Here is a 16,904-nt window from a genome sequence, read left to right on the forward strand (position 1 = left end):
AAGAAATTTTTAGAAATATGAGATGACAGCAAGAATGAGGGTATTAAAAAGAAATTTTTAGAACTAAATAGCAGAATGTAATGGTGAAAAGTTTGATTTCTCAAGTCTGCTTTGCACACAGGCATGTGGCAAACATTCAGTAAGTATAGCTGTAATTTTAACCAGCTGTAATGTATAATAGCCAACATATCACATTTTTCTTTTTTCTTTTTTGAGACAGAGTCTTGCTCTGTTGCCCAGGCTGGAGTGCAGTGGCACCATCTCGGCTCACTGCAACCTCTGCCTCCTGAGTTCAAGTGATTCTTGTGCCTCAGCCTCTCAAGTAGCTGGGATTACAGGTGTGTGCCACCACACTCGGCTATTTTTTGCATTTTTAGTAGAGATGGGGCTGGTCTTGAACTCCCAGCCTCAGGTGATCTGCCTGCCTCAGCCTCCCAAAGTGCTGAGATTACAGGTGTGAGCCACAGCGCCTGGCCATATATTGCTTTTTTCTTATTATCAGAGCCAGTTCATAATTGTGGAAAAATAGTGTTTGTAACAATGTAAGTATGGATAAATCATCTTTTTAATTTTGTGATTCATATAGGTTTGTTGTTGTTGTTGTTGTTTTGTTTTTATCTTGAGACAGAGTCTTGGTCTGTCACCCAGGCTGGAGTGTAATGGCACAACCATGGCTCACTGCAGCCTCAGATGCCTGGGTTCAAGCAATCCTCCCGTCTCAGCCTCTAGAGTAGATGGGACCACAGGTGTGGGCCACCATGCCTGGGTAATTACAAAACTTTTTTTTTTTTTTCTAGAGATGAGGTCTCACTATGTTGCCCAGGCTGGTCTCAAACCTTTGACCTCGCTTCAGCCTTTAGAGTAGCTATGACTATAGGCATGTGCCATCACCCAGCTAATTAAAATTTTTTTTCTTTTTTTTTTTGGTGGAGATGCGGTCTTACTTTGTTACCCAGACTGCAAGTTAGTTTCAGATATCAACATTTGGTGTTTCCAAATGCACGGGGAGGCTTTGGAGCAAGTTTTTGGCTCATATGCATAGGTGTCCTAGACATTCACTTTGCAAATTCTTATTAAAATGACTACAGTAGCATACAGATAGGGAAAAATATCCTTGTCAGTACCACCGATTGGGTGAGAAGAGACTGTATATTAAAAACAATGACCATCTTTTTGCCACATAAATTGCTGGTGGGGCCAGTTTGAAGAGGGCTTTGTCAGCTGCCTTCTGCCTCTTCCTCTTGAGTACGTGGAGTTGGAGTCATCCTTGACAGCCTCCTGTTGACACCACCCGGGTCACAGATGTGAAACTGTGTGGATGTAGGAGAGAGCAGTGATGGGGCTTACCCCAAGGTTGCTCTTCCTTCCCTCTGGCCACAAATGTTTAGTAAGGAACTGCTCTGTATTAACCATTTGCTAGGGGCTGCAGATACGGTGGTGAAGAAATAGACATGTTCCTACTCGGGATGCTGAGGTGGGAGGATTGCTTGAGCCCAGGAGTTGGAGCTGCAGTGAGCCATGATCACACCACTGCACTCCAGCCTGGGGGACAGAGCGAGACCCTATCTCTAAAAAACAATAAAAGAAATAGATGTGTCCTTCACCCTCATGGAACTGCCAGTCTAGCCTTCAACCTGGTGACTGTAGAAATGTGTGATTAGATGCTATATTGCCATGTTGAGTGTCACCCCTGAGAAGCAGGGTTTTTTTTGAGAAGGTAGGATGGGGGATCTGACTGTGGGACCACCAGAGGGAAAAGCACATGTAAAAGCTGCGTGTACCAACTGGAGGAAATCGGAGACGTGATCAGAGAACCAGAGTCAACCAGGGGCCATGCCGTACAGGGTCCTGTTAAGATCTGTGACTTTTTTCTAAACGTTTTCTTCTGGATAACATCTAAATTTCTAGTTCCAAATGTGAAACTCCAAGGGCGTTCTGTGCTAAACATTTTGCATGTATTAATTAATTTCCACCACACAACATTGCTGTGAATTAAGACAGTTTCTAAGCATGGCAAGAAACCCAGAAATCATAATGGAAAAATCTGATAAATTTAACAATGCCAACATGAACCTCTGTAGGAAAAAAAATACCACAGACTAAAAAGGGGGGAAAAAAACCAGAGACAAATATTTGCAACACATACAGTAAAGGGTAATTTTCTGGTTATATCAAGAGCTCCTACAAATCAGTAAGAAAAAAAATCTAATAGGAAATGAGCAACGACAAACTGACAACTCATAGAAAAGGAAACACAAGTGGTCTGAAAACATGAAAAAGTGCTCAGTCTCACAAAGAAATGCAAACTAACATGGTACCATTTTCCATTAATCAGATAGACAAAGATGAAAGAGTTTGGTAATGTATGTAGTATTGGCACAAGTGAGGGAAAACAGGGGATTTCACACTCTATGCCCGTCCAAACCAGTACCTTATTTTGAGGGTGGTTTGACAATATTTGTCAAAATAAAAAAATTATATATAGTCATTTGCCACATAATGATGGTTCAGTTGATGATGGACGGCATACATAATGGTGGTCCCATAAGAATATAATGGGCTGGGTGCAGTGGCTCTCACCTGCAATCCCAGCACTTTGGGAGGCCGAGGTGGGTGGATTGCCTGAGGTCAGGAGTTTGAGACCAGCCTGGCCAACATGGTGAAACCCTGTCTCTGCTAAAAACATACAAACAATTAGCCAGGCATGGTGGCGGGTGCCTGTAATCCCAGCTACTCAGGAGGCAGAGGCAGGAGAATCGCTTGAACCCGGAAGGCGGAGGTTGCAGTGAGGTGAGATTGGGCCACTGCACTCCCATCTAGATGACAAGGCAAAACTCCATCTCAAAAAAAAAAAAAAAAAAGAATATTATGGGCCCAGCCACAGTGGCTCACACCTGTAATCCCAGTACTTTGGTAGGCCAAGGCAGGAGAATCATTTGAACTCAGGAGTTTGAGACTAGTGGGGACAACATAGCAAGACCCCATCTCAAAAAAAAAAGATTATGGTGGAGCTGTCCTGTATAGACATACCATTTTTAACTTTTTTTTTTTTTGAGATGGAGTCTTGCTGTGTCACCCAGGCTGATGTGTAGTGGCGTGATCTGGGCTTACTGAAACCTCCACCTCCTGGGTTCAAGCGATTCTCCTGCCTCAGCTTCCTGAGTAGCTGGGACTGCAGGCGCAGGACACCATATCTGGCTAATTTTTATATATTTAGTAGAGATGGGGTTTCACCATGTTGGCCAGGCTGGTCTTGAACTCCTGACCTCAAGTGATCCGCCTGCCTCAGCCTCCCAAAGTGCTGGGATTACAGGCATTAGCCACCATTTACAGGCACCTGGCCACCATTTTTAATCTTTTATATTGTATTTAAACTGTACCTTTTCTATGTATGGATGTGTTTAGATACACAAATACCATTGTGTTACAGTTACTTACAGTATTCAGTACAGTAGCATGCTGTACAGGTGTGTAGCCTAGGAGCAATAGGTTATACCATATAGCCCAGGTGTGTAGTAGGCTCTGCCATCTAGGTTTGTGTAAGTACGCTCCATGATGTTACCACAGTGACGAAATCGCCTAATGATGCATTTCTCAGAACATATTCCTGTTGTTAAGCAATGCATGACCGTATCTTGACAAAGCCATTTTATTTCTAAAACTTTAATTTTACAGATTTATTTGTAAAAGTATGTAAAAATGATTGTAAAGGATATGTTCTGCTGCATTATTTGTAATAACAAAAAACCAGAGGATAACATAAATGTCCTATAAGAAGGGTTAGATTATGGATGGCACATTCATACAATGGGGTATTATGTAGCCATTGAATAAAAGGGTACTGGCTGGGCGCAGTGGCTCATGCCTATAATCTCAACACTTTGGGTGGCCAAAGAAGGAGGATTGCTTGAAGCCAGGAGCTTGGGGCCAGCCTGGGCAACATAGCAAGACCCTATCTCTACAAAGGAAAAATAAAACAATTAGCCAGGTTTGGTATTGGACACCTTCATGGTCCCAGCTACTGAGGAGGCTGAGATTGGAGGGATCGCTTGTGCCTGGCAGGTTGAGGCTGTAGTGAGCCATGATTGTGCCACTGCACTCCAGGCTGGGAGATAGAGTGGGACCCTATCTCAAAAAAACAAAAACAAAAACAAAACCTCCTGTAAAATGTCAAGAAGTCCTAGATGTGGGCCAGGTGTGGTGGCTCACACTTGTAATCCCTGCACTTTGGGAGGCTGAGGCCAGGAGTTTGAGACCAGGCAGAGCAAGATAGCAAGACTCCATTTCTACAAAAAATAAAAAAAATTAGTTGGGCATAGTGGTGCATTCCTGTAGTCCCAGCTACTCAGGAGGCTGAGGTGGGAGGATTGCTTGAGCCTGGGAGGTTGAGGCTGCAGTGAGCCATGATCACACCTCTGCACTCCAACCTGCGCAACAGAGTGAGACCCTGTCTCTAAAAACAACAACCAAAAAAACCCAGCAAAGTACTGATAAAGATCTTTGGCTGGGCGCAGTGGCTCACACCTGTAATCCCAACACTTCAGGAGGCTGAGGCGGGCAGGTCACAAGATCAAGAGATCAAGACCATCCTGGCCAACATGGTGAAACCCGGTCTCTACTAAAAATACAAAAATTAGCTGGGCATGGTGGCGTGCACCTGTAGTCTCTGCTACTCGGGAGGCTGAGGCAGGAGAATCACTTGAACCCAGGTGGCAGAGGTTGCAGTGAGCCGAGATCACGCCACTGCATTCCAGCCTGGCGACAGAGCAAGACTCCGTCTCAAAAAAAAAAAAAAGAGAGAAAGATCTTCAAGTTGTAGTATGTGAAAAAATCAGGGTGTAAAACAAGAGAATCCCATTTGTGTGTGTGTCGAGTGTGTTTCACACAGGCTCAGAGGGAGTAGTGTGTATATGCACATGAACATACGTGTCAGTGTATATATGTATATATACAAGGTTGTGGGTTTGTTTGTTTTTTTTGAGACAGAGTCTTACTCTGTTGCCCAGGCTGGGGTGCAGTGGTGCAATCTTGACCCACTGCAACCTTCACCTCCCAGGTTCAAGTGATTCTTGTGCCTCAGCCTCCCAAGTAGCTGAGACTACAGGCACGCACCACCATGCCCAGTTAATTTTTGTATTTTTAGTAGAGATGGGGTTTCATCATGTTGCCCAGGCTGGTCTGGAACTCCTGGCCTCAAGTGCTCTGCCCGCCTTGGCCTCCGAAAGTGCTGTTGCCCAGGCTGGAGCTCAGTGGCACAATCGCAGCTCACTGCAACCCCGACGTCCCAGGCTCAGGCAATCTTTCCGTCTTAGCTTCCCAAGTAACTGGGACTACAGGTGTGTGCCATCAATGCCCCACCAATTTTTTAATTTTTTGTAGAGATGGGGTTTCCCTACGTTGCCCAGGCTGATCTTGAACTCCTGGTCTCAAGCAATCCTCCCACCTCAGCCTCCCAAAGTGCTGCGATTACAGGTGTGAGCCACCTTGCCCTGCCCTGTACAAAGATCTGCATAAAAGCAGTTAATAATACTATGTTTGAGGCTGCCATCACAGGGGTGAGGTCAAGGACAAGTGTGAGAAATTCTTTTAGAATCTATTTTAAAAAAAGAAGAGATGACAGTGGTGACAGTCAGGGAACAGATAAGCAGGTAGATTGTGGGGGTCTAGGCTGTCTAACTGGTGTTTAAAATGAAGCAACCGCTGAGCCTGCTGTATTTCATTTAATGGAGACTAGTAAAACAACAGCCAGAAATTCTTCACTTTCCATCTAAGAGAGGCAAAAGTTATTTTCCCTTCAATAACCTGGGACTGTAGGATTAAGGTTTTTTTTTTTTTTTTTTTAAATACTACAATATGACTACCAGTATAATTTAAAAATGATTAGAATTCTATTTGAGTAAGAAATAGGTGTCTGCCTGAAGTAGACAGTCACTGAAGTCACTAAGTGGCAAAAGACAGAAAAAAAATTGAAAGTAGGAAACAATCAGCAGATATGATACCAAACATGAGCTGTCAGTGATAATGGATTAAGTCCTTCAATAATGGCTGAGCCAGATGGAATTAAAAGAAAAAATCCAGGCCGGGCATGGTGGCTCACACCTGTAATCCCAGCACTTTGGGAGGCTGAGGTGGGAGGATCACTTGAGTCCAGGAGTTTGAGACCAGCCTGAACAACATAGTGGGACCCCATCTCTATTTTATAAAAATATTTTGAAAAAAGAAAAAAAAATTCAGTTGTGTTCTGCTTTAAAAAGACAAATTGGCACAGAATGTCAAAGAATAAATAAAACAAACATGGGCAAAAGAGATTCAGGTGGTACCAATATCGGGCTAAGTAGCATTCAAGATAAAGATTATTAAATAATAAGTTAGTTAATACTAGAGTAATTGCATATTAATGAAACATAATCTATGGTAGAGATATTATAGTCAATAATTGTTTTATGTATTCATTAAGGTAACAACAAGCAAACAAGCTTTAATAGTTTTAAATGCTTTATATGCTTTATAGTTCTTTTATGTGCATTAATTCATTAATTCTCATTTCCTATGAGGTAAACACTATTATTATCCACATTTTACAGATGTAAAAACCGAAGCAGAGAGATTAATTAGCTTGCCCAGGAGATGTGGCATTCTGGGATTTGAGACAGTGGTTTGGCTCTGTAGGTTGCTTCAATAACCAAGAGATGCTTCAAATCAGATTTTTAAAATATGTTTTTCAGAAGCATTTTCCTGATACTTCTCCCCTTACATGGGTGTTAGTCTTTTGGGTTGAAAAACATGAGTAAGTGCTAGAAGAGCAAAATATGCATCCAGATTTAATAGTATGTCTGTTTTTCTGAGCCTTGGCATTTCATTGCTTTTATAATAGAAATGAAGGCTTTTTTTTTTTTTTGGCTGAGAATAGCACTGAACTCAGTGGGAGGGACTGTGGGTTGTAAGTTGTCCGCCTCTGAATGGAGTTGAATTTAAGTTTCTTGGTTTCCAAAGAATGATTGATTTAAAGACCCTCAAATTGCAAGTTAGAACTGACTTCAGTCCTTGAGGTTTTTTACCATTTAATGAATAATTAAATTTATGGTAATAAATGGTAATAAATGGTAAAAATGGTAATAAATTTTACCATTTAATGAATTTTTCTTAAAAAGCAATTGAATTGTTGATGAAAGGTGATGTTAAAATTATCCCAGATTTATCAATCTTTTTTTTATTGCCCCTGGATTTTGAGTCATAGAAAGCCTTTCCTTATTCTAAGGTTAACAAGACATTCACCCATGTTTTCCTCTAGTATTGCATTGTTTCATCTTTTACGTTTATTATTTATTTTATTTTATTTTTTTGAGACAGGGTCTCACTGTGTCACTCAGGCTGGAGTGCAGTGGAATGATCTTGGCTCACTGCAGCCTCTGCCTCCCGCCTCCCGGGTTCAAGCGATTCTGCTGCCTCGGCCTCCCAAGTAGCTGGGATTACAGGCACCTGCCACCGCGCCTGGCTAATTTTTGTATTTTTTTTTTAGTACAGATGGGGTTTTGCTGTTGGCCAGGCTGGTCTCGAACTCCTGACCTTAAGTGATCCACCCGCCTTGGCCTCCCAAAGTGCTGGGATTACAGGCATGAGCCACCGTGCCCGGCCTAAAATTTATTCTGATATGTGATATGATGTATGGTTCTAACTACTTTGTTACGGTGCATTATTTTCTAAATGTGGTATTGGATTCTTTTATATTTTGTTTAGAAGTTCTGCATCAATATTCATGAGTACCATTGGTCTCTGTTGTTTTTCTTGTGCCATCTTTATTGGTATAGGTATCAGTGTTATATTTAGTTTGTAAAAGGAAGTTGGAAGTTTTCCTTTCTTTTTAGTACTCAGGAATGATTTTAAGAATTGAGACTATTTGGTCTTTGAAGGTTTGGTAGAAGTCCATTGGGAATCCATCTGGGCCTGGTGATTTTCTGTGCGGTAGTTCCTTAATTGTTTTCCCTATTTTTTCTTATTTTTAATCAGGTAGCCTCTGAACCAGAATAGGTTCAGAGAGGCTCCCTCTATTTTTTTTAATACAAGTTGGTCTGCCTAAGTTTTCTTACTCTAATGGGTTAATTTTTGTAGACTGCATTTCCCTGAAAAATTACACGTTTGTTCTAGGTTTTCTGACTTATTTCCACAACTTTTTAGTCTTTCCCCCTGGAATCATGCCCCTTTCCATAAACAGGACTCTGATGTACCTGAAGTATTTTCACACTTCGGGTGGACTTTCTGTTTCTGGGGGTGGTTTTAGAGCAATTTTAGGCCTGCCACTAGCTACCCTGTTCTCTACACCATGCTGTTTTTCTCAGAATGCTCTTCTTTTGCACAAAGGCTTGGAGTAGGAGGTTGAGCAGTCACTCACTGACGTTTGGTATATTTTCTTTTTTTTGCTTACAGGTAATCTGGAAGTTTGGGCATTCTCTTTAAGTTGAGGGTGTGGTTTTCATGTCATTTTATTTGTTTATTGTTTTCTTGTGTGTGTTTCTTAGAGACAGGGTCCCACTCTTGCCCTGGCTGGAGTGCAGTGGCGTCTTGATCATAGCTTACTGCATCCTCAAGCTGCTGGGCTTAGATGAACCTCCCACCTCAGCCTCCTGAGTAGCTGGGACTACAGGAGCACACCACCATACCTAATTTTTTTTTTTTTGAGACGAAGTCTTGCTCTGTCCCCCAGATTGGAGTGTAGTGGTGCAATCTCGGCTCACTGCAACCTCTGCCTCCCGGGTTCAAGCGATTCTCTCACCTCAGCCTCCCGAGTAGCTGAGACTGCAGGTGCATGCCACCATACCCGGCTAATTTTTGTATTTTTTAGTAGAAACAGGGTTTCACCATGTTGGCTAGGCTGGTCTCAAACTCTTGACCTCAAGTGATCCACCCACCTTGGCCTCCCAAAGTGCTGGGATTACAGGCTTGAGCCACTGTGCCTGGTCCCTGGCTAATTTTTAATTTTTTTGTAGAGATGGGATCTTGCTATGTTGCCCAGGCTGGTCTTGAACACCTGGCCTTAAGCAATCCTCCCACCCTAGCCTGCCAAAACACTGGGATTTACAGGCATGAACCATTGTGCCTGGCTTGTTTTGTTTTTAATTCTATGTTGTTTTTGAAGGATGTATGGGGAGAGATGGATTTAGGCAATCATCGTTGTCCTTGGCTACCTGAAAGTCCAGGCACTCTTCTAGATACTTTATAAATATTAACTCATTTTATCCTCTCAACAACACTATGACATGGGTACTGTTACACCTTCCATTTTATAGGACTTAACAGAGAGGTTAAATATGTAGCCCAGGGTCACAGAGAGCTGGGCTTCAGACCAAGACAATCTGGCACCAGAGTCTATGTGGCTACCCCTAAGGCTTTGCCACCATGTGTTAGTGATTCTCAGCCTGTCATTTGGGGAGGGGATTGCCCTTTTTTTTAAACTTTTTAAAAAATTTATTCTTATTTTATTATATTTTTGAGACAGAGTCTCCCTCTTTTGCCGAGGCTGGAGTGGAGTGGTGTGATTTCAGCTCACTGTAACCTCTGCCTCTGGGGTTCAAGTGATTCTCATGCCTCAGCCTCCCAAGTAGCTGGGATTACAGTTGCCAGCCACCATGCCCAGCTAATTTTTGTATTATTATTATTATTATTTGAGACGGAGTCTCGCTCTTTTGTTCAGGCTGGAGTGCAGTGCTGTGATCTCGGCTCTCTGTAACCTTCGTCTCCTGGGTTCAGGTGATTCTCCTGCCTCAGCCTCCGGAGTAGCTGGGACTATAGGCGCGCACCACCATACTTGGCTAATTTTTTGTATTTTTAGTAGAGACGGGGTTTCACTATGTTGGCCAGGCTGGTCTCGAACTCCTGACCTCAGGTGATCTACCTGCCTTGGCCTTCCAAAGTGCTGGGATTACAGGTGTGAGCCACCATGCATGGCTGGATTGTCCTTTTTTAAAAAAAAAAACAAAAACAAAAAAAAAAACCCAAACCATAAACCCAATATTCTGAAAGATTTGGTCTCCACACCTGTGTTATATAATAATTAGTTTTTCCATTTTTTTCCTCTTGGTAGAAGGCACATATGCCACTCAGTTTCCAGTTGCCACACCCAATTAACATAATTGTTTTGCAGCCAAAAGCAAAAGAGAGTTGACATTTTAATTAGCTTATGTAGGTAGACAAATTGAGGCCTAATGTAAGAGTTTCATTATACCTTTTTGAAAAACTATAAATAGCTAGAAGCCAGTTGTCATTACTTTTTGATTCCTTAGAATTCTGGGCATCTTTCATCTGGAACCACAGATGAAAGAAGCTGCAAGGAAGGATTTTTTTTCTTAACGGAATAGTTTAACCATTCTGAATGCAAAAGTATTGGATGCTAGAATAATAGGTATCACATAAATTGAGGTTGACGTTTTCCCGGGTGAAATTCTATTCTGTCTCAATTTTCCTTTTTTTTTGAGACGGAATCTTGCTCTGTCGCCCAGGCTGGAGTGCAGTGGCATGATCTCGGCTCACTGCAAGCTCCACCTCCTGGGTTCATGCCATTTTCCTGCCTCAGCCTCCCGAGTAGCTGGGATTACAGGGGCCTGCCACAACACCCAGCTAATTTTTTTGTATTTTTAGTAGAGACGGGGTTTCCCAGGATGGTCTCAATCTCCTGACCTCGTGATCCGCCTGCCTCGGCCTCCCAAAGTGCCGGGATTACAGGCGTGAGCCACTGTGCCTGGCCTTTTTTTTTTTTTTTTTTTTTTTTTTTTAAGACAGAGTCTCGCTTTGTTGCCTAGGCTGGAGCGCAGTGGCATGATCTCAGCTTATTGCAACCTCCGCCTCCCGGGTTCAAGTGATTCTCCTGCCTCAGCCTCCCGAGTATCTGAGATTACAGATGTGTGCCACCATGCCTGGCTAATTTTTGTATTTTTAGTACAGATGAGGTTTTGCCATGTTGCCCAGGCTGGCCTCAAACTCCTGACCTCAGGTAATCCTCCTGCCTCAGCTCTTCCCAAAGTGCTGGGATTATAGGCATGAGTCACCGGGCCCAGACTCAATCTTCTGACAAGCTCTCAGAGAGAGTAAAAAGCAAATGAATATTTCATTATTTTGATCTGAGCTTTACGATTTTTCTTTTCTTTTCTTTTTTTTTTTTTTTTGAGATGGAGTTTTGCGTTGTTGCCCAGGCTAGAGTGCAGTGGTGGCGATCTTGGCTCACCGCACCCTCCGCTTCCCGGGTTCAAGCGATTCTTCTGCCTCAGCCTCCTGAGTAACTGGGATTACAGGCATGCGCCACCATGCCCGGCTGATTTTGTATTTTTAGTAGGGACAGGGTTTCTCCATGTTGGTCAGGCTGGTCTTAAGCTCCCGACCTCAGGTGATCCACCTGCCTCGGCCTCCCAAAGTGCTGGGATTACAAGCATGAGCCACCTTGCCCAGCCTTTTTTTTTTAAATCTGAGAAGAGGTCTTGCTCGATTGCCTAGGCTGGAGTGCAGTGGTGCGATCTCTGCTCACTGCATTCTCTGCCTCCCAGACTCAAGCAATCCTCCCACCTTAGCCTCCTGAGTAGCTGGGACTACAGGCATATGCCACCACACCTGGCTAATGTTCGTATTTTTTTGTAGAGACAGGGTTTTGCCATTTTGCCCAGGCTGGTCTTGAACTCCTGACCTCAGGTGATCCTCCCACCTTGGCCTCCCAAAGTGCTGGGATTACAGGTGTGAGCCACTGTGCCTGGTCTCCTTCACTGTTGTAAGATACTTGAATTGGGTCAATATTTGTGGAGAAGTCTCTTAAAAGTTCACTTGATTGTCAGTACTAGAACTCTACATTTAATATTGACATATTCCTGGGAGCATTTCAGAGCATTCTATTAGCTTAGAAAGGTCCAGGATAATTTGACTTTAGAAGTTACTGTTACCATGAATCTCAATGACTTTTGAAATCCATGAAGAATATCTTTTTTTTTTTTTTGAGACGGAGTCTCACTCTGTCGCCCAGGCTGGAGTGCAGTGGTGATCTGGGCTCACTGCAAGCTCCGCCTACTGGGTTCACGCCATTCTCCTGCCTCAGCCTCCCGAGTAGCTGGGATTACAGGCACATGCCACCACGCCTGGCTAATTTTTTTGCATTTTTAGTAGAGAGGGGGTTTCACTGTGTTAGCCAGGATGGTCTCGATCTCCTGACCTTGTGATCCGCCCGCCTCGGCCTCCCAAAGTGCTGGGATTACAGGCGTGAGCCACCGCGCCTGCCCAAGAATATCTTTTTGCTGGTAACTAGAGAGGACTCCTCTGAAGCAGATGCCATTCATGATGGATTTCATCATTTATGGGTTTTAAAAAACATTTTATTTTGAAATAATTTCAAATTTAAATAAGAGTTGCAAAATAGTACAAATAATTCGTGTTAACTTTTCATCCAGATTTACAAGTCAACCTTATACAGGTTGAGTATCCCTTATCCAAAATGCTTGGGACCAGAAGTGTTTTGGATTTCAGATTTTTTCGAATTTTGGAATATTTTTATTATATACTTAAGCATCTCTAATCCCCAAATCTCAAATCTGAAATATCTGAAATGCTATGATGAGCATTTCCTTTGAGTGTTATGTGGGCACTTTTTAAATTTATTTAATTAATTTATTTTTTGAGATGGAGTATTGCTCCATCACCCAGGCTGGAGTGCAGTGAGCGATCTTGGCTTATTGCAAACTTCACCTTCTGGGTTCAAGTGATTCTCCTGCCTCAGCCCCCTGAGTAGTTGGGACTATAGGCGCTTGCCACCACGGCCGGCTAATTTTTGTATTTTTAGTAGAGACAGGGTTTCACCGTGTTGGCCAGGCTGGTCTCGAACTCCTGACCTCAGGTGGTCCACCTGCCTCCGCCTCCCAAAGTGCTGGGATTACAGGAGTGAACCACCGCGCCTGGCCATGGATTTTGCAGCATTTTAGATTTGGGATACTCAACCTGTACCATGTTTACTCTCTCTCCTCTCTCTCTCTCTCTTTTTATATATATATATATATATATATATATATATATATATATATATATATAAATTATATATACACTACACATATATGTATGTATATGTATGTATTTTATATATAAAATACATATCTACATATAAAATACACATGTATATATACATGTGTACATATATGTGTCTCTATATTTAAGTTTTGTTGGAACCACTTGAGGGTAAGTTGCAGACATGGCGTCTCATTGCTCCAAAATACTTCAGTGTGTATTTCTTAAATACAAGGACACTTGGTTACATAACCACAGTATATCACCAAATGTATATTATAACAAGACTACCATCAAATCCTTATATCTCTTTCAAATTGTTTTAGTAATATCCTTATAGCAAAAGACAAAACAACAACAAAAACTGTTCCCTTTTATTTTGTTTGTTTTGGTCCATTATATGTCCAGGTTATGCATTAATGCATTGTGTTACTTGCTAAGTCTTGTTACTGGCCTTTAATTAGGATATTTCTTTGCATCCCGCCAAACTCCTCTTCATGGTTGTATCTTTTTTTTTTTTTTTGGAGATGGAATTTTGCTTATGTTGCCCAGGCTGGAGTATAATGATGCGATCTTGGCTCACTGCAACCTCCGTCTCCCGGGTTCAAGCGATTCTCCTGCCTCAGCCTCCCGAGTAACTGGGATTGCAGGCCTGCGCCACCTTGCCCAGCTAATTTTGGAATTTTGTGAGACGGGGTTTTGCCATGTTGGTCAGACTAGTCTCGAACTCCTGACCTCATGATCCGCCCGCCTTGGCCTCCCAAACTGTTGGGATTACAGGTGTGAGCCACTGTGCCCGGTCTTTTTTTTTTTTTTTTTGAGACAGGGTCTTATTCTGTTGCCTGGCCTGGAGTGCAGTGGTATGATCTTGGCTCACTGCAACCTGGACCTCCTGGGCTCAGGCGATCCTCCCACCTCAGCCTCCTTAGTAGCTGGGACTATAGGCACACACCACCATGCATGGCTAATTTTTATATTTTTTTGTAGAGACTGGGTTTCGCCATGTTGCCCAAGCTGGTCTTGAACTCCTGGGCTCAAGTGATCCACCTGCCTTGGCCTCCCAAAATGCTAGGATTACAGGTGTAAGCCACTGCGCCTGGCCCTAATTTTTGCATTTTTTGTAGAGATGGGGTTTCACTATATTGCCCAGGCTGGTCTTGAACTCCTGGGCTCAAGTGATCTTCCCATCACAGCCCCCTAAAGTGCTGGGATTATAGGCGTGAACCACTGTGCCTGGCTGAGGATTAAGTTTCAACCTCAGGGGAGCGGCATTCAAACTATAGCATTGTCCTTTAGTGACTGGCTTAGTTCACTTAGAATGTTTGTCTATTCATCCATCTATAGACACTGTTTTCTTTCACCTTTTGGCTTTGCAAATAATGCTGCTGTGAATATGAGTTATAGAAAAATACCAATTTGAATCCGTGTTTTCAATTACTTTGAGTATATACCTGGAAGTGGAATTTCTGGATCATATGGTACTTCCAAGTTTTTTTTTTTTCTTTTTTGAGACAAGGTCTCACTCTGTCACCCAGGCTGGAGTGTAGTGGCACGATCTTGGCTCACTGCAACCTCCGCCTCCCGGGTTCAAGCGATTCTCCTGCCTCAGCCTCTCAAGTAGCTGGGATTACAGGCACGCGCCACCACGCCCAACTAATTTTGTATTTTTAGTAGAGATGGGTTTCTCCATGTTGGTCAGGCTGCTCCCGAACTCCCGACCTCAGGTGATCTGCCTGCCTCAGCCTCCCAAAATTCTGGGATTACAGGTGTGAGCCACCGCACCTGGCCTCCATGTTTCAATTTTTAAACAAACAATTAGTTAAAAAAATAGGAAACTAAGAGAATGAACTATTTCCTGTTTTATTCAGTGGGTTATAATCTGTTACTATCATTGTTTATTTTGAGGTACAAATTGTCCCTACTTTGGCCAGCAGAGGATCCTGCAGTTTGTCTCCTGTGTCCTTTTCATAGCTCCTTGTTGGAACTCTTACTGGCCCACAATAGGATGTTCCAAGTTCATCTTCTTACTTTTACTGCCCCAACGCTGGGATCAGCCATTTCTTCAAGGAGGCCAGTTCCTTTCATTGGAGAATGGAAAACCCAATATGTAGAAACCAAGATAGAGGTGTTAGGTGTGATTGCTACTGGAGTGTCATTGCTTCCAAACCCTTTCAGAAGAGACCTAGGAAATGTGTGTGTGTGTGTATATATATATGTGTGTGTGTGTGTGTATTCATAAAAGCACATACACATACACATACCCCGAAGCATGTATTTCTGTATTATTATTATTTTTTTGAGATGGAGTCTTGCTCTGTCGCCCAGGCTGGAGTACAGTGGCACGATCATGGCTCACTGCAACCTCTGCCTCCTGGATTCAAGCAATTCTCCTGTCTCAGCCTCCTGAGTAGCTGGGATTACAGGTGTCCACCACCACGCCCACCTAATTTTTGTATTTTTAGTAGAGATGGGGTTTCACCACATTGGCCAGGATGGTCTTGAACTCCTGACGTCAAGTGATCTGCCCGCCTCGGCCTCCCAAAGTGCTGGGATTATAGGCGTGAGCCACTGTTCCCATCCAGAAGCATACATATCTATTTCTATATCTACATTTCTGTCTTTACATGTATATATTAAAAATTACAGTTTGCACTAATACCTCCAATTACAATCTAACATCATGGGATTTATTCTGGCTTTCTCCCTTCTCATATTTGTGTCTCCCCAACAGTGAGAAACCTGGCTTGCTATCCTCAACATGGTAACTTATTTATTAAGAAACTTATTCTTTTTTTTTTTTTTTTTCTGAGATTGAGTTTCGCTCTTGTTGCCCAAGCTGGAGTGCAGTGGTGTGATCTTGGCTCACCGCAACCTCTGCCTCCTGGGTTCAAGCGATTCTCCTGCCTCAGCTTCTCAAGTAGCTGGGATTACAGGCATGCACCACCATGCCCAGCTAATTTCGTATTTTTAGTAGAGATGGGTTTCTCCATGTTGGTCAGGCTGCTCTGGAACTCCCGACCCCAGCTGATCTGCCTGCCTCGGCCTCCCAAAGTCCTGGGATTACAGGCGTGAGCCACCGTGCCCTGCCTCTAGTTTATTTATTTTTATTCCATGTGCTCAGTCTTGCGAGCACGTGGTCTGTTTTCTTGGGCCTGGCCCCCTCAGTGCACTGTCTTAATACCCTAGCCCCCAGTCCCTCTGATCATATCCCCAGACACCCCTACTGAATCCCAGGTCTCTACCAAGGGAAAGGCAGGGAGGAGGCATTGACCAAGGAGAAGAGGGGGAAGGGACAGGGAAGGTCTTGATTTGTATTTTCTAAAATTTTCTACTCTGCTCATAATGCGTCTTAGCTGTGTTGTTGTGGAAAGTAGTGCTGACAGTGTCTTGTTTTTTTATTACTTACTTTGTCTTTCTTTTTAAGATGGTTTCACCCAAATATCACTGGTGTGGAGGCAGAAAACCTACTGTTGACAAGAGGAGTTGATGGCAGTTTTTTGGCAAGGCCTAGTAAAAGTAACCCTGGAGACTTCACACTTTCCGTTAGGTAAGTTGGAATGAAAAGAGAGGATCCTGAGAGTGTTTTCTAGGTAGGAAGTGGTAAAACCATGCTTGGATAGCTTGCTGCCTGCATTTCGAGTTTGAAGGCCTTATCTGAGCCCTGGGCTGCCTTCAGGGTTTGGGGAGTGGCCTCCTGGACATTTAGCAGAAGAGGAGTAAGGAGGGCCCTTCTTCTCCCTCTGAGACCTCATGGAAGGTGAGTTGGAGCAGGTCATAGAAGTTCTTAAGCCCTCCAGTGCTTGAGACTTGTTCCACACATCTTGAACCTGGTTTCTGCATTTTTCTTTTCCTTCCTGTTGATTTATTTAAAAATTTTA

General features: G+C 43.1%; 1 protein-coding gene across 5 annotated transcripts in view, besides 1 other annotated feature; it reads left to right on the plus strand.

The window, feature by feature from the left end:
* Nucleotides 1-16,904, plus strand: part of PTPN11 (protein tyrosine phosphatase non-receptor type 11) — a 90,972-nt gene that overhangs the window by 10,879 nt on the left and 63,189 nt on the right. For all 5 annotated transcript variants that reach the window (NM_001330437.2, NM_002834.5, XM_011538613.3 and 2 more), the window contains exon 2: nucleotides 16,451-16,573. In NM_001330437.2, the coding sequence (NP_001317366.1) occupies nucleotides 16,451-16,573 (123 nt within the window). The remainder of the gene's footprint in view (nucleotides 1-16,450; nucleotides 16,574-16,904) is intronic.
* Nucleotides 8,868-9,071: a silencer, noted in NCBI's record as "fragment chr12:112876497-112876700 (GRCh37/hg19 assembly coordinates)". NCBI's record gives its function as "represses an EF-1alpha promoter that drives an FKBP-Casp9 reporter gene in an ReSE screen in K562 erythroleukemia cells {active_cell/tissue: K562}" and the evidence as "EXISTENCE:reporter gene assay evidence [ECO:0000049][PMID:32094911]".

This window comes from Homo sapiens, chromosome 12, assembly GCF_000001405.40.
Source record: "Homo sapiens chromosome 12, GRCh38.p14 Primary Assembly".
Classification (NCBI taxonomy): domain Eukaryota; kingdom Metazoa; phylum Chordata; class Mammalia; order Primates; family Hominidae; genus Homo; species Homo sapiens.